The 26,242-nt window shown below is 43.1% G+C and overlaps 1 long non-coding RNA gene across 1 annotated transcript, besides 6 other annotated features; it reads right to left on the reverse strand.

Annotated features, from left to right (window-relative positions):
* Positions 409 to 578: an enhancer, noted in NCBI's record as "experimental_27159 CRE fragment used in MPRA reporter constructs". NCBI's record gives its function as "activates a minimal promoter by MPRAs in K562 erythroleukemia cells, with activity observed for both the introgressed and non-introgressed 12:27960473 variant alleles {active_cell/tissue: K562}" and the evidence as "EXISTENCE:reporter gene assay evidence [ECO:0000049][PMID:34662402]".
* Positions 4,269 to 17,060, reverse strand: LOC105369709 (uncharacterized). The gene is made up of 3 exons (XR_931459.3): positions 16,942 to 17,060; positions 13,742 to 13,867; positions 4,269 to 4,355 (listed from the first exon to the last, which is right to left on the reverse strand). It is a non-coding gene; the product is annotated as an uncharacterized LOC105369709 (long non-coding RNA).
* Positions 14,532 to 15,731: an enhancer, noted in NCBI's record as "CDK7 strongly-dependent group 2 enhancer chr12:27974511-27975710 (GRCh37/hg19 assembly coordinates)". NCBI's record gives its function as "activates an origin of replication core promoter dependent on BRD2, BRD4, P300/CBP, MED14 and CDK7 cofactors, with strong dependence on CDK7, by STARR-seq in HCT116 cells {active_cell/tissue: HCT116}" and the evidence as "EXISTENCE:reporter gene assay evidence [ECO:0000049][PMID:35650434]".
* Positions 15,181 to 15,250: an enhancer, noted in NCBI's record as "active region_6150". NCBI's record gives its function as "activates an Ori minimal core promoter by ATAC-STARR-seq in GM12878 lymphoblastoid cells {active_cell/tissue: GM12878}" and the evidence as "EXISTENCE:reporter gene assay evidence [ECO:0000049][PMID:35858748]".
* Positions 15,271 to 15,430: an enhancer, noted in NCBI's record as "active region_6151". NCBI's record gives its function as "activates an Ori minimal core promoter by ATAC-STARR-seq in GM12878 lymphoblastoid cells {active_cell/tissue: GM12878}" and the evidence as "EXISTENCE:reporter gene assay evidence [ECO:0000049][PMID:35858748]".
* Positions 17,725 to 17,834: an enhancer, noted in NCBI's record as "active region_6152". NCBI's record gives its function as "activates an Ori minimal core promoter by ATAC-STARR-seq in GM12878 lymphoblastoid cells {active_cell/tissue: GM12878}" and the evidence as "EXISTENCE:reporter gene assay evidence [ECO:0000049][PMID:35858748]".
* Positions 23,421 to 23,590: an enhancer, noted in NCBI's record as "experimental_27196 CRE fragment used in MPRA reporter constructs". NCBI's record gives its function as "activates a minimal promoter by MPRAs in K562 erythroleukemia cells, with activity observed for both the introgressed and non-introgressed 12:27983485 variant alleles {active_cell/tissue: K562}" and the evidence as "EXISTENCE:reporter gene assay evidence [ECO:0000049][PMID:34662402]".

Genomic DNA, 26,242 nt, shown 5'->3' on the forward strand with positions numbered 1-26,242 from the left:
TTTTTTTTTCTAAAATCTGAATTGAATGGCACAAATACACAGTTATTCAGAATCTGAATGCCAGCGGAAAGAGATGTAGAAAAGGTAGGCGATGTTGTTGTCAGAAAGTGTGGTCTGACCCCCATGTGGGCCTGTGAAGGGTTTCCTGAGGAAGTCTAGGGGCAGAGATTCCGCTGCTCAGGCTACTTTCAGCCCTGGTGGATTTCGAGGTGCTGCTGGGTAGGAAGACAAGAAGTCAGAGGCAAGAGATCTAGAAAGAGGCACTGTAATAACAAGTGGTCTGTGGCTGGTGGTGACTTTTCTTATACAATCTGGTGTGTATGTATATGTTTGTCTGTTGGTTTTGTTTATTTATTTGAGACAGAGTCTTGCTTTGTCTCCCAGGCAGAAGTGCAGTAGCCTGATCTCAACTCACTGCAACCTCTGCCCCCTGCCTCCTTAAAAAAAAAAAAAAGATACGCTGATTTTTTTTTTTAAGGAGGTAGGGGGCACCGTTCAGCTCAAAACAGGTACTAAATCTTATCTCAAAAACCTTTTAAAATGTGCTGTTTGCTTCACATGCCATTCATTGAGAAGGGGCGCACTGCCTGAAATGAAGTTTGCTTTGAGTTGCCTACCTTCCCCACCTCCCCACATCCCCATGATGCGTGTCATTTTAATGCCTAATAATGTCATTTTAATAATTACAAGTCTGAAAGAACAGGATAGGTAAATCCTATACCGTTAGCCATAGTTTGATGAGATCGGGCATGTTCAGGGTGGTATGGCCGTAGACCGTTAGCCTTACCTTGATTTCAACTTTTAATGAAAAAACACGGTACCTTTCTTAGCTGAGTGCATGAGTTAGCAGGTACAGATGTTAAATAATGTCTATGAATTCAGTGCTGTCAGTGTTCAGTGTCCCATGGAGGCTAATTTCTGTCACCTTCCAGTACCTGGAAGGTACCCACCAGTCAGGATTTTTTAAAAAACCAACAGACACTGACTCTAGCTGATGAAAGAAAGAAAGAAAGAAAGAAAGAAAGAAAGAAAGAAAGAAAGAAAGAAAGAAAGAAGGAAAGAAAGAAGGAAAGAAAGAAAGAAAGAAAGAAAGAAAAAAGAAAGAAAGAAGGAAAGGAAGGAAGGAAGGAAAGAAGGAAGGAAGGAAAGAAGGAAGGAAGGAAAGAGGGAAGGAAGGGAAGGAAAGAAAAGTTACTAAAAAGATAGGATTTAACTCAATCTTTAATAGGACATGAAAGAAACAGAAACGATGGCAGCTCTGGCAGTTGGGAACTCAAGGACAATCTCTTCGGGGCTCCACCAATGGGACAGAAACTCCAACCCACTTTAGGTCTCGTGCCATGAGCCCTGAATGGAAATGGAAGGAGTGAGCACCCTGATTGTCCTGCTGGGGTCACATGTCCAGCCCTAGGCTGGGGATGGGATGGGGCCCCTTGGGAAGTCTCACCGAGACCGTACCCATTGAGGGAGGGGGATTCTTCAGAGCAAAGCCAAGTGTTCAGTGGTAGAGTCAAGACAGTGTTGTTCTAATCCCGGGAATCACCTGATTCCTTTGTCTTAGGTTTCTTTTTTCTTCTTTGAGACAGAGAAAGACTCTGTTGCCCATGTAGTGGCACCTTCTTGGCTCACTGAAGCCTCTGCCTCCCAGGTTCAAGCGATTTTCCTGCCTCAGCCTCCTGAGTAGCTGGGACTACAGGTGCATGCCACCACGCCCTGCTAATTTTTGTATCTTTAGTAGAGATGGCGTTTCACCTTGTTGGCCAGGCTGCCTGGCCTCAAGTGATTCCCCCCAACTCGGCCTCCCAAAATGTTGTTATTACAGGCGTGAGCCACCATGCCTGGTTTCTTGGCTTTTTTTTTTCTTTGGCTTTTGTTTCTGAGGACCAGAGTCATCCTAAGCCTTCTGGTCTGGGCAGGTCATGGGAAAAAGGAACTCTCCAGGGGCCTTCTCTGTGACTATTTTAAGAAAATAACACAAACAGACCCAAGGCCAGGGCTCACATTATGGCATATTAGACAGCGTACAAAGGCTGCTGATTTATTCCGTTCTCTTATCTGATAGCCATTAAGGGGAGAAAGAACAGATGGGGAACATTCATTAGCACTGTTTATTATTATCTTCACGGACTATTTCACAGCCCAAACTGTGGCAACTCCATAATCCTTCTGAGGCATTGATTTGGAACACGTTTTATTTTAACCAAGGCAGCCTAATTGTGAGAGAACATTCTACATTTTTTCCCATCTAGTTATTGCCCACAGCAATGCCATCTACATTACCCCGGATTCCAGCCATCTCATGACTTTTGTGGGCCCTCGGCATTTTTGCCTTCATGGGTCCCTTCCTTGGTAAAACAAGATTAAAAATCATATTTTACGACTCTGTATAATGACCAGTATAATCCAGGCTGGACTCATTATTACCCATTCATTATTGTTATACTCATGTTTTTCTTCTTTTTTATATTTTTAGAGACAGGGTCTCGCTCTGTTGCCCAGGCTGGAGTGTAATGACATGATCATGGCTCACTGCAGCCTGGACCTCCTCAACTCAAGCTATCCTCCCGCCTCAGCCTCCCAAATAGCTGGGACTTCAGGCCTGTGCCAACACACCTGGCTAACTTTTGATTTTTTGTAGAGATGGTGGTGCTCTCACTGTGTCGCCCAGGCTGTTCTCAAACTCCTAGACTCAAGCAATCCTCCCACCTTGGCCTCCCAAAATGGTGCTGGGATTACAGGTATGAGCCCCTACACCCAGCTGTTTCTTCTGGTTTTAAAATAAATTACAATGAAAACATTTTTATGGACCTCCAAAAGTATTACAGTGCTTCACCTGTGTGCCTTGAGGATATGGCCCTGCACTCAGTCCATCCTAGACATGCACGCCCTTGTCCTATGCTTAGCATTGTTCTGGAATGATCCAGAATGCTATCCCCAGATATCCCTTTCTGAGAGTTCTGGAGTCAAACGGCCTGGATGAAAATACCAGTTTTATTCTCACTAGCTAGTGACCTGCATTTAACCCTACAGACCTCAGTTTCTTCATTTGTGGTATGCTGGTAATAATGCCAGCTTCCTTATTGGTTTCTTGTGAGGATTACCAGAGAAAATGTCTGTAAACACTTCCCACCGGATCTCACATGCGCTAGATGTTCCATATGTGATAGCTGCATATATTTCTTGTGATCACTACTCCTAGGTCATCAAGGTCATAACCTCACAGAAGGTGCCCCTGAAAGAAATCCAGTTATTTAGTGACTTGCTCCCCTTCCTCATTATCTGGCATGTCTGCAGAAGGGGCTTTGGTGAGGGAGTGCAGGCGGGTCACAAGTAGTCATTGCTATTATTAAAAAAAAAACAAACCAGCAACTCAGCCGGACGTGGTGGCACACACCTGTAATCCCAGCATTTTGGGAGGCCGAGGTAGATGGATCACCTGAGGTTAGGAGTTTGAGACCAGCCCGGCCAACGTGGTGAAACTCTGTCTCTACTAAAAATACAAAAACTAGCCAGGCGTGGTGGTGGGCTCCTATAATCCCAGCTACTCAGAAGGCTGAGGCAGGAGAGTCGCTTGAACCTGGGAGGCAGAGGTTGCAGTGAGCTGAGATCGCACCACTGCACTCCAGCCTGGGCGACAGGAGCAAAACTCCATCTCAAACAAACAAACAAACAACAACAACAAAACAAACTCATACACAGAGAAGTACGGGAGGACTTCCAGATCGCATTTTCTTTGGAAGAGATGCTTGGAAGGAAGAGATCTGAAGCAGTTAAATGGAAGGTTGTGTATTTCCTAGGATTGTTGGTGCCATTGTTGGATTCTGGATTTGGGTGTGGCCACCAAGCTGTCCTGTCACAGTGTAGCCAGCACTGCTGGTGTGAATGCCTGTGATGGAGAGGGAATGCTGTATTCTGGCTCTCTGTGCCTCCGGGCTGGTGGGAAAACGGCCAGACCCTCCACTGCAGCAGATTCATGCAGGGTGATTCGGAGCCACTAAAATGTAAAGAAAGACTGTTTGTTTTCCCAGCTCAGTTTTCAGAGAGGTGAGTAGGTGTTTTCTAGCAGTGCTGATGTTTATTTGTTCTGAAGTCTTTTCTGCTCTGTTGTGGGTCTCAAGCTTCACCGATCTTCAGAGGCAGCTTTGTAAAATGAAGTGGGGTTTTAATGTCTCATACTCCTGGATTTGTTGCATCGCTTCAAAATATTTTCCATCATGGTGCCTGCTCAAAGGTCTCTGTAAAGCATGGTGGTTATTGTCTTTCTGGCACAATTGCCCTTCTATTTCCTTCTGAAGTTTGTAAAGTTATTCGGGCTCTACTGTATAAGGAGCAGGGTCAATCTTACTAGCAGAAGGCTGAAATGAAACGGCAGCTGCTGTGAGTGCTGTGTAGAGTAAAACCTGGCACCACATACCCACTGTCCTGCCTAGATCCAAATGCATTCAGCACCCAGAAAACCCCCAGTGAAGAAAATTTCAATGCTGAAAGAGAAGACTGGAGAACATTACCATAGAATCAGGTTTGTCTGCATGTGCCAGATACCCTAAAATAACAGTATGTTATATAAGATAGAAGTTAATTTTTCTCTGAGGACAAAGCAGCTTGGAGGATAAGCAGTGCAGAGCCAGGACAGCCAGTGGTGGCTGCAGCTGGCTTATTCCAACTTGAGAGAATGGGTTATTTGCACCTCCTCTCAGTCCTATGTTCAATGATGTCACACTGGTAACTTGAAATTGGTGTGGCTGGGTGCAGTGGCTCATGCTTGTAATCCCAGCACTTTGGGAGGCCAAAGCAGGAGGATCGTTTGAGCCCAGGAGTTTGAGACCAGCCTGGGAAATATAGTGAGACTTCATCTCTAAAAAAAAAAAACAAAAAAAACAAAAAAAAAAAAAAAGAAAGAAGGAATAAAAAAAGGAAAAAAGAAATTGGCCATTGTGGAGGATTTTACGTCACTGACATTGGCACATGCTGCAAATCAGGGCTTCGCCCTCCAGAGAGCTGGTTGTTTACCACTTACCAGCCCACCACTGGGTCTAGCTCTCTAATGGGGTTTAGGAACCCCAAGCTCTTTCTATTCTACTGCCCCACCATCCTAATATGTGACTGTCATTCTTACTGTCATTTCACAGTTTAGAGTTGATGCTAGAGTTCCAGCCATTAAATGACACATCCCAGATGGCAAGAAGGAATCGAAATATAAGGAGACAAATATTGAACACCAGCGGTATTTTCAGATCTCTTGGAAGCTGGTATACAGCATTTCTGTGGCAAATACTTAGCTACACGGCTTTGCTTAGCTATAAGGGAGGCTGGGAAATGCCATCTTTATTAGGGGATCCACATGTCAAGCTAAAAGCTAGGGGTCTGTGGTAGACAGAGCTCTACAATATCCCCGGTGATCTTTACTTTGTATAATCTCCTTCTCTTGAGTAGGAGGCAGAACTTGTGAATATGACAAAATGTCACTCCTGTGATTATGTTATATATCAGATCAGTTGATCTTAAGATACGGAGATTATCTAGGTAGGCTTGACCTTCAAAAAAAAGCCCCTTAAATCTAGATCTAGAGTCAGAGATGGAGGAAGTCAGAGATTAGGAGCATGAGAATGATTGGACGTGCCATTGCTGGCTTGAAGGCGGAGGGGCCATGTGGCAAGGAGTGTGGGTACCTCCAGGAGCTGAGAATGACCCCACCGACAGCCAGCAAGGAAACGAGAGTCTCAGTTTAACAACCACAGGGAACCAAATCTTGACAATGACAAAAACGCTAAATGTAAAAGTGGATTTTTCTCTGAAGTCTGCAGACAAGAACTCAGGATGGCCAACATCTTGATTTTAGCCTTGAGATGCTCCAAGCAGAGAACTCAGTCATGCCATGCCAGACTTCTGGCCTACAGAACTGTGCATTAACTAATAGGTATTGTATTAAAGTGCTAAGTTTGTGATAAATTGTTACACTGCGGATGAAAACAGATACAGGATCTATTACTAAGGAAAAAAGGAAAAACGGAAATTAGAGTATACACCTTGCAGTCTTTGACTCATCAATGCAGTAAAACCCTCAAACGTTAAATTGGAAGGAAACAGAGTTTGGTGAGCCTGACCTCCATGCAGGCATCTGTGGCCATGCTCAAGTTCTTGGAACTTTTTTTTTTTTTTGAGACGGAGTCTTGCTCTGTCACCCAGTCTGAAGTGCAGTGGCGCAATCTCGGCTCACTGCAACCTCTGCTCTCGGATTCAAGCAATTCTCCTGCCTCAGCCTCCCGAGTAGCTGGGATTATAGGTGCGTGCCACCACGCCTGGCTAATTTTTGTATTTTTAGTAAAGATGGGGTCTCACCATATTGGCCAGGCTGGTCTCGAACTCCTAACCTCAAGTGATCAACCTGCCTCAGCCTCCCAAAGTGCTGGGATTACAGGCATGAGCCACTGTGCCTGGCCCCTGGGCTACATTCTTATCTAGAGGCCTGACTGAGGAAGAACCTACTTCTAAGGTCAGGCAGGTTGTCGGCAGAATTTATTTCCTTATGGTCATAGGACTGAAAATCCCAGCTTCCTGTTGCCTTAGCTGTGAGAGGCCATCCTCGGCCCCTTGCCACATGGGGCTCCCAACATAGTCAGCTATGGAGAGAGTCTCTAGCATGAATCTTAGCCAGACAGAATCTTATATAATGCAACGTAATCAGAAGTGATGCCCCATCACTTTTGTCATTTCTATTGGCTAGAAGAAAATCACAGGTCCCACTCACATTCAATGGAAATAAATTATACAAGGGTATAAATACCATCATTGGGAGTCACCTAGAGTCTGTCTGCCACACAGACTGTAATTTATGTATATATATAAAATTATTTTTAATTGACACATAATAATTATATTATTACATATTTATGGGATACAGAGTGATATTTCAATGCATGTATACAATGTGTAATGATCAAATCAGGGTAATCAGCATATTCATCCCCTTAAACATTTCTCATTTCTTTGTGTTGGAGACATTCAAAATCCTTTCTTCTAGTTATTTGAAAACATACAACAAGTTATTGTTAACTATAGTCATCCTTCAGTGCATAAAATACCAGAACTTATTCCTCCCATCCAGCTGTCATTTTCTATCCTTTAACCAACCTCTCTTTATTCTCCTTTCCCTCTTACCCTTTCCAGCCTCCGGTAACCACAATTCTACTCTCTATTTTTATGGGATCAACTTTTTTAGCTTCCATATAGGAATGAGAATGGGTGGTATCTTTCTGTGCCTGACTTGTTTCACTTGACACGATGTCCTCCAGGCTCATCCGCATAGAGAAGGAAGACAGGATCTCCTTTTTCATGACTAAATAGGATTCCATTGTGTATATATACTGTGTTTATTTTATCCAGTTGTCTGCTGCTGGACACTCACAAACCTCAATTATTTTTCTCATGTTCATGATTAATCTCAGCCAACTATGAGACTTCATTTCCTGTTTCCCCAATCCCCCTTGTGAGGTGTGGTCATGTGACCTAGGTGTGGCAATGATAACTAAGCAGAAGTATCCTGGGAGGTTTCTAGGAAATCTTTTGGGCTCTCCTGATCAAAGGGAAGAAACACAGTTCGTACCTTTCTTTCTTCTTTTTAAAGCTTTGAATGTGTAAGTCATAACTGAAACTACAATAGCACATGATTATGAGAAGTCAAAAGAATCACAGAGATATCAGTGTTAGGACTGGAGTTCTGCTGAATGAACACTTGTAATCCCTACAGCTGGATTTCCTGGCGTATGAGAATAATTAATTTTTCTGTGCTTAAGCCATTATAACAAGGTTTGTATCATTTGCAGTCAAAAGCATTCCTAATGAATAAAATTGGCTGTCATTTTTCTGTCCCCAGGCTTGGGGAATTATATTTCTGACAAGAGGAGACAATTTTGAGGTGATCTGCTGAGCCTGGGATCTCTATTCTCTGAGTGATCATTTTTTGCATGTGATCCTGCCCTGGCTGTAGCTGATTGAAGCAGGATGCATTCTTTACCAAAGCTGGGCCAATCAGATTCTCTTTTGCATTTAAACTGAGAGACACGAGAACAGGCTCTTGGGGGCTCAGTCACGTTAATTCAGAGCTTTGAAGTAAAAGCTTGTAAACTTGTGTAACTGAGGTCCTGGAGCTAAGTTCCAGCTCTTCCTGGGACCTGGCTGTTCAGTTTTTCACCAGATTGCATCAGAGGCATCTGTATCTTCATAATCAGTTTTTCCCTTGTTTAATCAAGGTAGATTCTGTAATAAGGAGTATCAACTAGGAAACATGACATTTACAGAGCCCTTTATGATCTGACCTTTGTCTTCCTTCAGCAACAAATTCTGTACTCATCTTCAATTACAGCACTATTTTCTCAGCAAAGTCTTCCTTGATCCCAACAGGACAAGAGAGCTGGAGTTCCCTCCCTACACCTGCACATCACCCACTACTGTCTGGCTTAGTAGGCAGAGGTAGACACTGTGTCTTTTTCATTTTTGTCTTTCCAGAACCTAGCACAAAGTCTGGCACCTCGTAGGCACTCAGTAAATGCTTTTTGAATGAATAAAGGCAGAGATGGGAGTTTCTGACTGAAGTAATAGTGTAAACATAACCACAGAGAATGAAAGTACATGGGATTCTATGTTCCTGAAGGGCAGGGACCATGTCTTATTTAGCCTAGCACAATATTTGGCACATGGTAGGTATATTAGGCTGTTGTTGCATTGCTATAAAGAAATACCTGAGGCCACGTAATTTATAAAAAAAAGAGGTTGTTGTTTTTTTCTTCTTTTTGGAGACAGGGCTGTCGCCCAGGTTGGAGTGCAGTGGCACGATCTTGGCTCACTGCAACCTCTGCCCATGCTCAAGTGATCCTCCTACCTCAGCCTCCTGAGTAGCTGGGACCACAGGTGTGAGCCACCAAGCCTGGCTAATTATTTTGTAAATATTTTTTGTAGAGATGAGGTTTTGCCATGTTTCCCAGGCTGGTCTTGAACTCCTGAGCTCAAGCAATCTGCTTCCCTTGGCCTCCCAGATTGCTAGGGTTACAGGTGTGAGCCACCATACCTGGCTAAGAAAGGAGGTTTCATTGGCTCATGTTCCTGCAGGCTATACAGGAAGCATAGCGGCATCTGCTTCTGGGGAGGCCTCTGGGAGTTTCCAGTCATGGTGGAAGGTGAAGTGGGAGCTGGCACATCACATGGCAAAAGCAGGAACATAAAGGTGGGGGAGGTGCCGCACACTTTTAAACAACCAGATCTGGTGAGAACTTACCATTGCAAGGACAGCATCAGAGGAGCGGTGCTAAATTATCTATGAGAAATCCACCTCCATGATCCAGTCACCTCCCACCAGGCCCCACCTCCAATTTTGGGGATTAGATTTCAACATGAGATTTGGGTGGGGCAAATATCCAAACTGTATTAGTAGGTATTTGTTAAAAGTCTTTTGAACTGAACTGCCCTGTGCATTGCTGAGAGAATGCTAAGTGTCTCTCTGGGGCTGGGGCATAAGAGTCGTGTGTGTGTATGTATGTGAGTGTGGAGGAGGAGGTGGTGGGTGGGGAGTGTAGAGGAGATGAGATGAAAAAGGCAAATTAGACCCTACTGTGCGAGGCTTTGCACACTAGATGAGGTTCTTGGCATTTGTTTTATAAACAACAAATAAAGTATTTTATTCATAGATGTAATGGGGCCAGAAGTGGGCAGCTTCTAAATAGTTCAGGAAATAAAAAGTGACTGAAGTAAGGAGGCAGCAGTAGAATTAGAAAGGAGCCCTGGCTCTCACGAACATATTGTTAAATTTTTAAGTATTTTAGGAGCTGGATGTTAAACCTTTGGTAGCTTGAAATTGGCCATAGTGGAAATATTTACACCACAGAAATTGGCAAACACTGCAAATGAAAGCTTTAAAGAAATTCATTTTATGGGAAACCATTTGACCAGTAAACCACTGAGAAAGATTTCAGAGAGAGACAGTTGGACGAAACCGATAGGCCCTGATGATTGGTTGGGGCGGGTCTGGGGTTGAAAAGTTCTTAAAGATGGTTCTGAAATTTTTTATCTGAGATTTTAACTCTGAGTGACTTGCAGGATGAAGATGTCACTCAGTGGAAACTAGGTTTTGGGGAAAAGATGATGTATGTGATTTGCTGCATGAATTTGGGGGTATGACATAATACGCATGTGGCTTGTCCAAAAAAAGAGATTGAAGCCTGTGTTTGATGCTCAGTCAGACCTGGAGTATAGACTTGAAATCAGCTGCCTCCCCTCCCCTCCCCTCTGCTCTCCTCCCCTCCCCTCTCCTCCCCTCCCCTCCTCTCCTCTCCCCTTCCCTGCCCTCCCCTCCTTCTTCTTCCCTCCCTTCCTTTTGTCTCGCTCTGTCACCCAGGCTGGAATGTAGTGGTACAATCATAGCTCACTGCAGCCTAGAACTTCCAGGCTCAAGCGATCTTCCTACCTCATCCTCTTAAGTAGGTGGGACTATAGGTGTGTACTACTATGCTTGGCTAATTTTTAAATTTTTTGTAGAGATCGGGGTTGGTGGGAGTGTCTTGCTATGTTGCTCAGGCTGGTTTCGAACTCCTGGCCTTAAGTGATCCTCCCACCTCAGCCTTCCAAAGTGTGGGATTATAGGTATGAGCCACCATGCTTGGCTGTGATGAACTTTCTTACATTTGCTTTTAAATGTTAAGCTAGAGCATCAAACAGGGATTCCAGGAAGGCACGATCTGGAATAGGTATTCAAGAACCCCAAATTACTATCCATAGTGTAGAGGAGAGGCCACGCAATTCCCACGCACTTCACTCCTCTCTCATCCTCCTATTGCCAGTGAATTCTCTCCCTCTCCTAAAGTTCAAAACCACCAGCCCCAACTTGGCAGCAACCCGGGAGACAGGGCAACAGCAGCCAGGGTGGCAGCAGCTGTAACCTCTTGCAAATCACCTCCTCTGAGTCTAAATTTCACAAACACATAGTTCAACAGTTGCTAAAAACACTCATTGCTTCTTGGCATCTAAAGAAGGCATTTCAGGACTCCTCAATTTTAATTAACTAGGCATTTCAGGACTCCTCAATTTTAATTAACTATCTCAAATATTAAAGAACATTGCTGAGTTTGCTGAAGCATTTTTACAGTTGTAGAAGAAAGCATCGGGTGTGAGGGGAAGACCTTCACAGAAACACATGCTATTCTGGATACGTGACCATTTATGAATATGTCCTGCTTCATTTAGTTATTGTCAGGTTCCCGACTACACCAATTATGTTCAGGGTCAGGTACCAGCCCATGCTGCAGTCTGGAGGGAGTGAGTGGATGAGCAGGAAGAACACCTGGGGGCCGTAGGCAGGTGAAAGATGGTTTTATTCAGCAGCAGCTCTCATCAACGCTTTCTCACACTGTCTGCCTGTCTCAGCTGCTTAGTCCAGCTCCCACATGCAGCTGTGCAGCTGGCTCTCCCTTGCCTTCAGGGTCAGCAGCTTAACTCTCTCTCTCTGGGCACAAGTGAGCCAAGCTGTGTCCTGGCTCTCCTCTGTCCATCTCCAAAGACGAACAGCTTTGACACTGTCTCTGGTGCCAGCATGCCTGCACAGTGTCAACAAGGCAATTATACCTTTTACAGACAATAGCGGCTTAGGGCCAAGGAATGGCCTTCCCATCTCATGGCTACATGGCTGTGATAACAAGTGGAGTTATACGCCTGTGCTGTAAACTCGCTGAGTCACTCAGGATGTTTACCTCAGCCTATCCTTGACCAAAGCACAGCCATGTTTCTTACGGTTATGAATTAACCTGAAAAGGGGAGACAATTGACTAACTTTGAGTAGGCATGTTTGAAAAGAGGTGGATTGCTAACGTGCAGTATTTTGTCCATAGGATCAAATATTTTAGGAAAATACTTCTTGTTTTCTGATATTAGTGCTAGGTTTTCCTTTGCATCAGGGCAAGGATATTTACCCCCAACATCAAAAAAGAATGGCCCTACCTTAATTACTTACTACTCACCATGGAGAAGTATAATTCTTTTGTGTACTATGAACATTTAATTAGTGGCCCTTTTTGGAATGCTCGGTTGGCACTCCTGTGTTACTTATCAACTTTTTCTGGCCTTGCCACTGCAGTTGCTCCTAATGCCTAACTCCTTAATGATGTGATCATCTTCCCAATCAGATGTGTTGGGAAGGGCAGCACATCTCAGATGGTAACTGAATGCAGTTCACCTGGGCATCTTGTCACCTGCAGATTTTCATTCAGTCGGTCAGGAGAGAGCCCATGGTTCCTCTTTTCTAACAAGCTCCTAGTTAATGCAGTTACTGCTGGTCACAGAGCCATGCTCTTGAGTAGCAAGGTATAGTGGAGGAATGACAGGCAGCGTTAAGAGGGAAGATTACCATTCAGAGAGCCACAAACCACCTGGGAAAATAATATACCAAGAAGAGGTGAGAAGTATGTATATGTGATGATGTATTTATTCATATTAATGTATATGTGTGAACATATGAACTATCTCTGCTTAAAAATGGCATTCTTCAATAGATGCTTTGCAAAAAACATTTAAAAAGGAGGTATGGCCGGGCACTGTGGCTCATGCCTGTAATCCCAGCACTTTGGGAGGCTGAGGCGGGTGTAAGAATTAAAGAAAGAGGAGAGAAACGTGAAGGGTGGCTTGCCAGTTCACAAGGACAGGTTTATTTTAGGAAACAAATCTGAGAGGGACTTCTGGCCGAGTTAGGTCAGAGCCACACTCTCTTATACACTAAAAGTTGTTAAGGATTTAGGGTATGAGAGTTTATCAGAGGCTTGGACTGCTTCTGTGACTCTTTGTTGTGCTTATCTGAGAGGGAGAGTTGTGTGTCTGTTCCCATGCATCTTTTTGCAGCTGCAGGCATACCCCCGAGTCTGCTTTTAGCTTCCCTATTTTAGCGCACCTGAAGGGAAAGGAATGTGCTTATTAAGGCCCACTGTTTTACTGGGGCCCATTGCATGAGGGTGAAGATTGGCAGTTACCCAAGGAACTTTTCCCCCACCTCCCTTTATGCCTGAGCTGTCTTATCTGTGTTTTACTCTCTGCTATTTCTGGCTGCTTATAGTTAGAAGAGAAGTGATTTCCTTGAAATGCATGAGGCTAGAAAGGGAGCTGGAACTTAAAGTGGTGGTGTTTGTCTGAGATGACGGTGCTGCTGCTGTCAGTGGGCAGATCACTTGAGGTCAGGAGTTTGAGACCAGCCTGGCCAACATGGTGAAACCCCATCTCTACTAAAAATACAAAAATTAGCCGGGTGTGATGGCGCGTACCTGTAATCAGCTACTTGGGAGGCTGAGGCAGGAGAATTGCTTGAACATGGGAGACGGAGGTTGTGGTGAGGCGAGATCGTGCCACTGCACTCCAGCCTGGGTGACAGAGCGAGACTCTGTCTCAAAAAAAAAAAAAAAAAAAAGGAGGTATGAAGCTATTTAGGATGTTTTATAGATAATCTTAAATATTTGGTGTGCTGTTGCTTAAAATGAGTGAATATATATAAAATGCCTAGTGCTGCGATGGGTTTAAGTACAATGTGTTACTTATATTTATTATTATAGTTTTATGCTGCTTCTAGGATTCAAAGGTCGAGGAATTAGAATAGAAAGGTGTTCCTTGGAGAAATAAATTGTTCACAATTGGAAAAGGACAGGCACGGAGATAGTCACCAGGAAGTGGAACAAATCAAGAACCACCCATGTCTTTTACCACACAATAGCCATACCAGCTGGAGGAAGGACTGTAAGTACCATCTTTCCAGAAGTGCGCAGGTTATGGAATAGCTGCAGCATGAGAGGCTGTCACTGCTTCTCGCCTCAGTCACATTTGCAGCCTGAGACTCTCCTGACCACTGGAAAAACAAAACAAAACAAAAGGAACACAGGAAAAAAAGTTAAATTTCCCTTTTAAAAATAGAAAAAGTAAAACCAGCATTAGGTTTAGCAATTATCAGCAGTAACTGAATTTTAGGGAGAAAGGCAGTGAATTATAGCAATATGAAAAAGCACTCTTCATCCAAAATCAGATTTGTTAATTCTAATTTTTTATAAAGAAAGAAAGCAGTTATTTTTACAAAACAGTATAATTGAGATTGTGTATTACAAACTAAATTTTTATACCACGATTTTATTGTTCTCTCATCCTGTTTGAGTTGTAAAGTCTTGTTTTTCAGTGGAGTTTATAGTCTTTAATTAAAGCTGGTGGAACTTACTTTATAAATGTAAATGTTTATCAGTTGCTGGGGAAAGCTTACTAGGATTCAGCAAAACCATTAATATACAAAGCACTACCATCCACCTAGTGGTAAAAATCCAAATTGCAAGCATTGCGTCTAAGTTGAGAGGCTCCAAACCGCGTTTGAGGAGTCCGCCAGATTTCAGCCTACCTAACCACAGGGGCCACGTGTGGTCATCTGCGGCTCTCATTCCTTTTGGGGGGTTCAGTGCACCCAGAGACACATGGGCTGCTCATGCACTGCTTTTGAGGCTGGAGTTAATGCACTCCTGAAAAAGCACACTCTTCACTCTCTTCTTAATTCCTTAATACATGTTAGACCTCTCTGTATGTGGGAGAAAAATAGCTAATACTCTAATTATTATAACTATATTCAAAATTATGTAGTAAATACTTTCTCAAGTTTGTGAATAGAATGGAAGAAATGAAATAAGTATTTAAAAGGTCTGTTACTACTGATAAGAGCTTATCTAAATTGAAGTGACAAAGACCATAGTAAAAATGATGACTAGGAGGAGGCTCAGAGAATGTTCTACACTGTTTAAATTCTTATTGCTTTCCCTTGAGAGGCAGTGTAATATAATGGAAAAGCACTGGCAATGAACAAACTTGGTTGTGGGGCTTTGGGAAGCCCTCTGAGCCTCAGTTTCTTTACTTTTAAAATGGGGCGATAACTTGGAACACATACTATCATGAGATTAAATAATATACGAAAAGTAATTAATACCATGTGATCACAGAGCCTGGTTTACGGAGTAGAGGCAAAAGTCATAAGTTTTTCCTTAGTTTCTGTATATTTGTGAGGCGTTCAGCACCTCCAGCAACACAGTATCCTCCAACACCACCTGGGCTCATGAGCTCAGCATTGAGTCAGAGGAAAGGAGGTCTCTTTCTGATTCATGGTTCCACTTCCTGAGGTTCCTTAGTCATCTGAACTGGTCCAGACGAGGCTGCCCCTACTGAGAAATGTTCATGTTCTGTTTTGAGTCAGGTTACATTATTTACTGATAGTCTTGCCTGGATGTAAATGGTGTTTGTGTATTGGTTCACGATGTGGCCAAGGTAACACATACGTTCTTCCGAAGCTGGCTTTCATTTTTTTGGAGAAAGTTATGAATAGCCGCAGAGAACTGGAAACTGTCTTTCAGCTTGGTGGAACAGCGGAAGTCGGCAATAGGTGGAGTGGAAGCTGACTAACTTGCAGGGTAACCTCTGGGGAGGGTTACATAACCTCTGGGTTTGCCACCTGTACTGCGAAAGCCATGAACTGAGGGTTGCTCCCCTGCTCCTGGTGAGGGGTAACTGAAAGAGTGGTTTCCACCCACTCTTATGAAACATTAGCATTTCAATCACAGTGATTGCCACATTTATGGCTGTTAGCACTATATGACTATGGTGGTAAATAATTTGATTTATGTGAATTTAGCTTTATGATTTGAATGAAAAGAATACAGACTCACAAGAGTTAGAATTACTGGTTTCTTCTTTTTTTTTTAAAGGTACACAATACTGTCCCTCTACTTATTAAATAATACATGCTTAAGGCAGAATATTTGATATACAGATGCTCTTCAAGTTACAACAAGGTTACGTCCCAATAAGCCCATCATAAGTTGAAAATATTGTAAATCAAAAATACATTTAACACACCTCACCTACTGAGCATCATAGCTTAGCCTGGAACACTTACATTAAATATGCCCAGAACACTTACATTAGCCTACAGTTGGGCAAAATCATCTAACACAAAGCCTATTTTATAATAAAGTGTGGAATATCTCATGTAATTTATTAAATTCTGTACCAGAAGCAGGAGACATAGATGGCCATTTTGTGGACAAGATGGCATGTGAAAACACAAAACATGGTATCCAAAAAATGCTGGCAACACAGTGCCCTGCAGAGACTCAGTTTTTGATCTTCGTGGTCGTGTGGCTGACTGGGAGCTGTGGCTCACTGCGCCTGCCCAGCATCGTGAGAGAGTGTGGTACCACATATCACTAAACTTGGAAAAGATCAAAATACAGCACTTGAAATAGGGTTTCTACTGAATGTGTATGGCTTTCATACCATTGTAAAGATGAAAAATCATAAGTCGAACCATCCTAAGTTGGGGACTGTCTGTACATGGCATAATGAAAACAGTCACTCACAATCAGGCTATACATCCTAGTGCTCCTAGGACAGTCTCAGTCCAAGTAGTGCCCCCTTTCGCTCTCAAGAGTGTCCCAGTTTGAAGGATAGTTTATGTAGTCACTCTGCTACCATAGTGTCCCTAGACTGCCTCACAGAGGTAACTGCTATGCACGTGTTGGCCAATGGTTATAAAATCCATTTTCCAACAATAAGGTCATAGCAGAGTGAGGAAGCTCCTACACTGGGGAGCCCCATAAACCAGGTTCTGGAGTTTGACTGGGTCACTTACTAGCTCTGTGACTTTAAGCAAATGATTTTCTTAAAAAGATGCAATTATTTCCTTGTCACATCTTGTCAAATGCATCAAAATAATATATGCTTATGATAAATTCTAACAGTATAAAAAGGTACAAGCTGCTGCCCGCTGCACCCCTCCCCTACTTCCCAGAAGTAATCATCTTCTATTAGGCTAGTTATTTTACCTCTTTGCTCCTCCTTCTCTCAACTGAAAGATGGGGATTATAACACTCCTCGCATAGCCTCATCTATACTCACCTTATGTGCCCGGCACAGGTCCTGAGGTATAGTCAATGCTAAAAAAATGCTTATTAAATTAAGATTACTGGCATGTTCTTTAGTAGCCTGCTTCTTTTCACTTAGCAAGTATACAGAATGGTTTCTTAACCTCATTTGTAATAAACAAAAATCCCCCAGTAAATATGGAAATGTGAATTTTCTGAGGGGCCTCTATTCAAATGTTCTTAAGCAAATATTACCAGGTTCAATAAGCATAGAAATGGAACCATCATCCCCCTGCTAGAAGCTGGTCCTTCCAGGTGGGGCTTGGGGCAGTCTGGGTGTGTGGGAGGCAGTGGGGTGGAACATTTGCACTGCTGTTTGTGGTGTACCTGTTCAGTCATAAACAGAGGGCTTTAGTTTCCATCTGGCTCCCTGCACTGGCACTAAAGTAACATTGAAAAGAAAAAGAGAGTAATGAAAAAGACATCTAAACTGCTGCTGGGTAGGGTCAAAAAAAAAAAAAAAATGTGGTCCAACGACCCCAGGTTCTAATGTGGTCAGAATGAGGCAGGAGACGACGATTTCTGAAATACAAGAAGCCAAGGAGATGTATTTTGACCATGAAGAAGATTAGTTCTTGTCAATTCTCGGTATGATGAGTGCTACTCACTCTGTAGTCAAAACAACCCGCTGAAACGGAGGATTGCTGACAAGAACGTCCTCCCTTTCCTGTCGCTTTATTTAGTTCCAGTCAGTTCCAGCTTGTTTTGTCACAGTCAGAGGCGAGGAAGATGCCTCAGTTATCCTCAATATCGTGGAAACTTTGGTTCACAGAATTCACTCTTTTTAGGTTCTTCCAGCCCTCTGTCTCTGCCGTCCCGGTCTCCACCCTGGCTGTTGTACTGGGCTTGAAAACTCTTTCCTAAGTTGGGGATCCAGGAGTTGAGCTATGGTCACTCGAAGGCCCATCTCAGTTTTCACTGAATCCTATGCCTTTTTAGGCTCTTTGAAGTGGATTAAAATCCACTCCCCGCCTTACTCCCAGGTGGGAGCATGCAAAACAATAACCTCTAGCATTTCCCCCAGTTACAGAGCTGTTCTGGCACCAAACATGTATCAAAAGGAGATCACTCAAAAGACATTCTTGGCATGCTGTGAAAAGCAAAAGATTTACCTCCCTGACCACTAATAGGTTATAGGTTTGTGTTCCTTTCTCCAGGGATGACACCTTGACTCTTGAAAACATTTTCTGTATATCATATATAGTGTGACATGCGGCAAACAAGTCTTAATTATCACACTCCAGGTCTGTTATTAAAAATCATCTTAAGATAATAAATATATGTACTTTTAACCACATAGACATTTGTTGTTTTTAACCATATTAATGCCACACTTTAACATTTTTCCGTATTAGTTATCTGTATTTGTTATCTATTTCTATGTAACAAATTACCCCAAAACTTATCAGTTTAATAAACAGATATTTATTATTCATATACTTTCTGAGGGTCAGGAATCCAGGCGCAACTTCACTGGGTGATTTTGGCTCTGTTGCTTGTGTGGGTTCAGTCAAGATGTAGGCTGGGGCTGCCGTCGTCTGAAAACTTGGCTGGGCTGGTGAGTCCACCCCTGAGCTCATGCACGTGGCTGTTGGCTGGGGGCTTCAGTTTTCCACCCTGTGGGCCTTTTCATAGAGCTGCTCATGACATGGCAGTTGGCTTCCTCCAGAATGAGTGACCCAAGAGTGAGGACAAGACAGAAGCCACAGTGATAGAACACGACTTCCACTCTATTCTTTTGGTCACGTAGACCAATTCTGGTACAAGATAGAAGAAGACTATCTGAGGGTGTAAATTATAGGTGCCACCTTGGAGGTTGGTGATCACAGTCCATCTTTTGGGTTCTTATGATTTATATCCCTTCCATAGGCAAAATACTCTTAACTCCTCATAAGTTCCCCAAAAGTCTCATCCCATTAGAGCATAAACCTGAGGTCTAGATTATTGTCATATATTCAGGCCTGGGTGCAGATGAGGCTTGTCAGGTGTAATTCCATATGGACAGTTCCTTGAGTACCATTTCTTTCTATCCATACACCTGTGGGCTGCAAAGACAAGTTATTTGTCCCCCACACTCAACATACAGGCTTAGCTAGACATTGGATAACCACTATTGATATTCCTGCCCAAAGATGGGCAGAGTGGGAAGCACACAACGATCACTAGCAGGTCTGAAATCCAGTTGGGCAAACTCAGAAGCTCCTTGATTGGGTCTCAGTCACACTCCTGAGTAGCAGTTATTCTATTCACTCCTGGCTCTGCTTTCTGGACTCTTGATTCTCTCTGAGTCATCCTTTTTTCAAGAAAACATCATGTGTTTGTGGCTGAGTAGTTTTCTCAACCTGTTTCTTATCTATATACATTTTGGGGTTCAACAGCCTCTTTTCATTTTGTCCTTTTCTCTGTGCCTCTCAAAGCTGGGGGTGTTTCTGCTGATATCAATATCTTTTTTTTTTTTGAGACTGAGTCTTGCTCTGTCGCCAGGCTGGAGTGCAATGGCATGATCTCAGCTCACTGCAACCTCTGCCTCCCGGGTTCAAGTGATTCTCCTGCCTCAGCCTGCTGAGTAGCTGGGACTACAGGCGCATGCCACCATGCCCAACTAATCTTTGTATTTTTACTAGAGATGGGGTTTCATCATGTTGGCCAGGATGGTCTCAATCTCTTGACCTCGTGATCCGCTCGCCTCAGCTTCCCAAAGTGCTGGGATTACAGATGTAAGCCACCATGGCTGGCCTTTTTTTTTTTGAGCCAGTGTCTTGCTATGTCATCCAGGCTGGAGTGCATTGGTGTGATCATGGCTTACTGCAGCCTTGACCTTGACCTCTGGGTTTAAGTGATAGTCACACCTCAGCCTCTCAAGTAGTTGGGACTATAGACACAGGCCACCATGCCTGGCTAGTTTTTTTTTTTTTTTTTTTTTTTTTTTTTTTTTTGTATTTTTGGTAGAGACAGGGTTTTGCCATGTTGCCCAGGCTGGTCTTGAACTCCTGGGCTCAAGTGATCCACCTACCTCAGCCTCCCAAAGTGCTGGAATTGTAGGCATGAGCCACCACACCTGGCCTGATATCATTCTTTTAAAAATTTCATAAGTCTTCTGTGAATCCTACTGGAGTTTACTCCAGTAGATAAAAAGGCATAGATCTCTTCAAGAGAAGCCTTTTTTCTTTTTAATTTAAAAACTATAAATTTCTTTGGATGGACAATGTCCTCCACTTCTTAAAAGTTCTATTGTTTAAATGAATAAATCTGTGACTCAAACCCTTTAAATCTTTAGTGGGTCTTTGGTGTGAAGCATAATGTCTTCCTTGCAGTGTCCCAGTTTGATTTTTGCTTGCAAGCTCTTTCTAAAATTTATCAGCATTTGTCATCTGAAAGGGCTGAGAATTTTCAAAGCCATTGTATTTAGTGGTTTTAATGGTTTTCAGCTTGTTCAATTTAACAGTCTTTTATATATCAGTCTTTATGTTTGTTTGTTTGTTTGTTTTGAGACAGTCTTGCTCTGTTGCCCAGGCTGGAGTGTAGTGGCACAATCTCAGCTCACTGCAACCTCCGCCTCCTGGGTTCAAGTGATTCTCCTGCCTCAGCCTCCCGAGTAGCTGAGATTACAGGCACCCGCCACCATGCCTGGCTAATTTTTATATTTTTAGTAGAGATGGGGTTTCGTCATGTTGGCCGAGTAGCTGAGATTACAGGCACCCGCCACCATGCCTGGCTAATTTTTATATTTTTAGTAGAGATGGCGTTTCATCATGTTGGCCAAGCTGGTCTCGAACTCCTGACCTCAAGTGATCTGCCTTCCTCAGCCACCCAAAATGCTGGGATTACAGGCATGAGCCACTGCGCCAGGCCTTATATATCAATCTTATCTCTTACAAGCAGTAAGAAGAAACCAGGTGGCACTTTACCACTCTGGCTGGAATTGTCCTCAGCCAGATCACCCAGTTTGCTGGGTAAACTTTCTGCTCTCCACATAACTGCAGGTGACAGTGTTGCTAAACTTTTCTTCCACTTAATAATCAGGATCCCCTTTCTTCCAGTTTCCAATAAGATTTTCCTCAATTTCCTTTAAATCCTCTCCAACAGCCAAAGTCCAGAATTATATAAGAAGTGCATTCAAATGCATTTAATATTTCACTAATACTCTTAAAATCATTACAGCTTGTCTAGTTTCTGCTCAGTGCTCAGTTCTAAAGCTATTCCCACATTTTAGGTTTTTGTTATGGTATGCCACTTACAAGAACCAAAATCTTTACAATTCCTCCAGATGAACATCTTTATTACCAATTTATTCCCAATTCCACATAGGGAAATGGAGGTGCAGAGGGCTTGTGACTCAGGGTCACACAGTCACTATGTGGAAGAATGATGACTCAAGTCTGAGAATGCTGGACTCAAAGGGCCTCTTCTTTTCAGGATACCTACCATACTGTCTCTGGAGGGGTAAAGGCAAATGGAATCTATTCACAGTTTGGAATTGCTGAAGTCTTGGCAGGAACATTCAATCAACGCAATTCTAGATGACACCATTTACGTTGTATTCTATTGCTTTGTATTGTCCGGTGCAGAGGTCCTGAGTCTTTAGATGCCCCCATTTTATAAATAAAGAAATTGAGATTTCTCAGGATCACACAGCTAGGAAGTGTTAGAGTCAGGGTTTAAACAAGTTCCAACTGACTCCAAAATACTTTATCTTCCAAGTGTTCAGGCACACATAGCACATCTTATTCATTGACATTTGGATGGATGTAAAAGGCATTATGTTTACTGAGGAGGGAGAGAATGGGGCAAACTTATGGCCTTAAATTCTCTGTACTCAGGGTTCCTCGTGTATAAAAGAGAAAAGGCAGGTTTCTCACAGGGCTGTTGTCATGATTGAATGAGGCAATGCATGTAAAGTTTAGCAGTGCCTGACCTCTGATAAGCTTCCTATAAACGTCCTCACATAGTCAGTGCGTAGGAGATTTGCATTCTAGCTCTAGTGCTGGCTGGTTACCTGAATTATTCAAGGCTCTGCTTCAGATCTGCATCAAAACAAAGATGAAAATTATCCATCCTGGATGTCACTAAGATCTGATGAGAAAAAATGAAACGGGTTCCATGACAAGCATTGAGTTCCTCAGCAGAAAGTTGTTCCAGAAGTCTGGCGCTTCTATATCACCATCTCAGAGGGTATGAAAGAGCCTCATTCTGAGTCTGTAATGCCCCTTTGGCTCCAGCCAGGAGCCCACGCTTCATTAAAAACTGTGAGCTGTGCCAATCTGTCTGGGGCTTTATGGGGTACATGAAAGGGGGCCTCAGAAGAGACTATCGGCTCCACCCTGGCTCAGGCTGCTGTTTGCCCCCAGACTCATGTGGTGATGAGATGAGAGCACCCGCTCACCCACTTCGCTTTAGGCTGGGCTGCTCTCAAGGGCCAGGGCATTGATCTTGCCCCCAAGGCTTGGAATGTGGTTCCAGCCTTATCCCCAGGCCTCTTGAGGCTCCACAGTTGGCCTCACACTTTCACAGGTTTATTCTTGGTGGCAACGGGTCTCACAAGGTAGGAAAGTATGAATTTGGAGCTTTGTGGTCATTTTTATGTAACAATGTTTTAATACATAAGATGTTAGAGTCAAGCTTTCTATGCTTTCCAAACGGTGTCTGTATTTTGATTTTTAATGTGCTCCTGAACAAGGCTGTCTGCCAGCACAGGCCAAATCTGGTTAAGAAGGGCTCCTGTACCTGGAAGGGGTCCCTGGAGAAAGCACTTCAAGTCGTTTATCCAGCGCTGGCTGCTTTCGTTCTTGGCTTGGAGACTGTCAGCTTTCCACCAGACCTGCCGCATAGTAGAGCACATCCTCTTGGAGAGGGCGAGAGAGCCAAGGAGGGAGCAGGTTGAAGGAATGATGGCTATAAAGCAGATGTTATTAGTGGGCATTGGGTGAGGTTGGGAGGCTGAGTACAGTAGCTTTATTTCAGCCTCCAAGGTGGGCCACAAGACTGTGGTCTAGAAGGAAAGCTGTTCCCATTTGGCCGAGCCTGGCATCCTGAGAATCCCCAGGCGAAGAAACACTTCTGCCTGGTGTGTAAATTCAGAGCTTGGGTCTGGAAGGAGTGATGTTGATGAAATGCAACATTTGGGGCGCAGCCTTGAAAGCTGTCAAAATGACACCAGTGGAGACCTAGGAGCAGGGAGTTTAAATGTCTCACGACCACCCAGTTTTCATTTTGATTTGATTATTCTTAAAGTAAAAAAAAAGTTTTTTAAAAGATTTCGAAAAAAAAGATGAGAGATAATCAGAAGGGCAGCAGGGTGCAAATTGGGTTGCCATCATGAAGTGGCTTAACTGTGTGAGTCATACATGTTGCTAGGTCTGGTGACGAGAATCTCCTATCCTAATTTAGCTTAGGGTATATGCCCCACATTTGATATATGGAAGGTCAGGCCACCTTCCTGTCACTTTGATTTCTTCACTCTGAAAGGTGGCCTGGGTCTGTTCTGTGTCCTTCCGCCTGCCGCCCTCTTGGTGTCTATAGAATCTCTCTTGGCATAGGGCGAAGGAGCCGGACTACCCACTGAATAGCTAAACACTTACCTAGCATTTCTGTTTGGATTTCTTAATTTTTTTCGCTCAGAGAATTGACATAAAAATAATTTTTTGACTCTGAATTTCATCTGGCTTTAGGTAAGATTACACCATTTCACTGGGGCGGCAAGAGGGGTCTGTAGTAGCTCTCAGTACTTTCTGACCAACCTCTTGGGTTAAAGCCTTCCCTGATACTTCACCTTGCCCTGGTCTCCCTCCCATTCTTCTTCCTCGAGTTCCTTAGGAAAGTCCTAGGAAAGTGCTCTGCTGATTATTGCTAGAATTGGAATCAGACAATGACAGGGAATGAAATATGCCAAGACCATACTTAACCTTGCTGAGTTCTGTTTGAGCATTTCAAACTCACATTCTATGACTGTATGTGTGTATCATGAACAACAGAATGAGGATCCTTAGGGAGATTTACGCATAGTGCTGCATAGAATACACCATAGTTGGAAATGTTGTACCCCATGGATTTGTCTGTTGTGCAAAAATTACCTTTTCAAAAATTATATTTATAATTTTGGGGTCACCCTTCTTGACCTTATGGAAATCAGGACCAGTTCTTGAGGCTCCTTTTTATCTTTAAGGCTGGTATACAGAAGTGCTGTCTGTGTTGTGGTATCAGTCATTAGGCCGTCCTGGATATTTAATCTGGAGAGAGCTAAAACGGAGTATTTCCCACTTTCCTTACCTCCTCAAGAAGTCCACTGCCATTGGATGCCAAAGCCCAAATGTATAAAACAGAAAGCACTGACACAGCCTGGAAGCTTTGGGCACATCCATGAGAAGCATTTTTAACCTCCCAGACTTGAAATGTGTAGTGCCAAACCATTAATTCACTGCTCTGCACATTCATTCACAGTGTTCTAATTTGGCTTCTCTTTTTTGTGGTGATTAGTGAAGCAGTCTCATTAACTTCACGGTTGTGTTGGTTCAAAGTAAGGAGTGGGCAGTTGACCTTCGAAATAGAAATAGAGTGGAGATTAACCTGGTATAAATGGGGTTGAGGTTTAATGTAGAGAGAAGCATTGAACTAAGAAGGAGATAAAGCTGGGCTCAGGGAAATATCTGAAACCTGGGAGGGATGCTCTCTGACCTCTTCACCCCACCTTTCTGCACTCTTTCTCTCCCACTGTGTGCAGGGCTGGGCTCCTCCCCAGTGTTCTCATGCTTCCTGTCCTGCCTTCCTCCGAAACCAAGTCCGCAATAAGATAACAATGACTGGAATATGCCTTCCTTCCCAGGGAGTCCATAGGTGTAAAGAGTATTAAGGACGGAGGACAATGCTTAACTCCAAAAGCAAATGCCTAATGATGAACCTGGATTCCTGTAACATTTAATTGCAATAGGTGCGTTGAAGGGCAGACTTTATAGTGACCCCTACAATCAACTGGGGAATTGTACCCCAGATAGTGTCACATATTCTATTTTTCAGTGTGACATAAAGGTAGACAATAGGTTGACAGTTCCCACTATTTAACCCATTAGAAATTGAAAAGCAGAGAGGTTAGAGAGACTAAGAGGAGACACTAGAAACCATCACTGCTTTTTCTTTTAAACTTTTATTTTAGGCTCAGGGGTACATGTGAAAGTTTGTTACATGGGTAAACATGTGTCACAGGGGCTTGTTGTATAGATAATTTTATCACCCAGCTATTAAGCCCATAGTTATCTTTTCTGCTCCTCTCCCTCCTCCCGCTCTTCACCCTCAATAGACCCCAGTGTCTGTTGTCTTCTTCTTTGCATCATTGCTTTTTTTTTTTGAGACAAAGTTTCGCTCTTGTCGCCAAGGCATGAGTGCAATGGCGTGATCTTGTCTTACTGCAATCTCTGCCTCCCGGGTTCAAGTGATTCTCCTGCCTCAGCCTCCTGAGTAGCTGGGATTACAGGCATCTGCCACTGTGCCCTGCTAATTTTTGTATCTTTAGTAGAGACAGGGTTTCACCATGTTAGTCAGGCTGGTCTCGAACTCCTGACCTCAGGTGATCCGCCCTCTTGGGCCTCCCAAAGTGCTGGGATTACAGGCGTGAGCCACTGCAACCGGACTGCATCATTGTTTTAAAAGCTAATTTCTTTCTATTGTGTAGCCTCGATGCATAGGAAGGAGATCTCTTAGACTCTCATAAATGAAGGTTTTAAGTACTGTGTTGGCAACTTAGTATTAAGTAATCACTGGCAAAACCACCTCTCTACACTGCCACTGTGGGTACATAAATTGTGAATTATTGCCTTCCCTAAGGAATTATGATCAGGCAATAACCATACATTTATTTCTGTATATTTAATCTGTATATTCTGAGAATATCTGATTATATTGGATATTATACAGTTTGTATCTGTACAAACTGACATTTATAAATTAGCTTTTGAAAAGTTATTGTATTAGGGATAAAGATGAATTGTTCAAACATATATATATTTAAATGTACTGAAAGCCGGTATACAGAACTCTTTCGGATTTTCTTTCTACTAGGGATTGCGTTATCAATTTTCACTATTCCAGTAATCTGCATACTGTACTATTTTTAAGTATCAAATAATCACATATTACTTGATGATATGGTAATGTTATTTTTTATTGTAAAAAGGTGAAGTCCTGGGCGGGCACAGTGGCTCACGCCTCTAATCCCAGCATTTTGGGAGGCCAAGGCGGGCGGATCTCCTGAGGTCAGGAATTTGAGACCAGACTGACCAACATAG

Source organism: Homo sapiens, chromosome 12 (genome assembly GCF_000001405.40).
Source record: "Homo sapiens chromosome 12, GRCh38.p14 Primary Assembly".
Classification (NCBI taxonomy): Eukaryota; Metazoa; Chordata; class Mammalia; order Primates; family Hominidae; genus Homo; species Homo sapiens.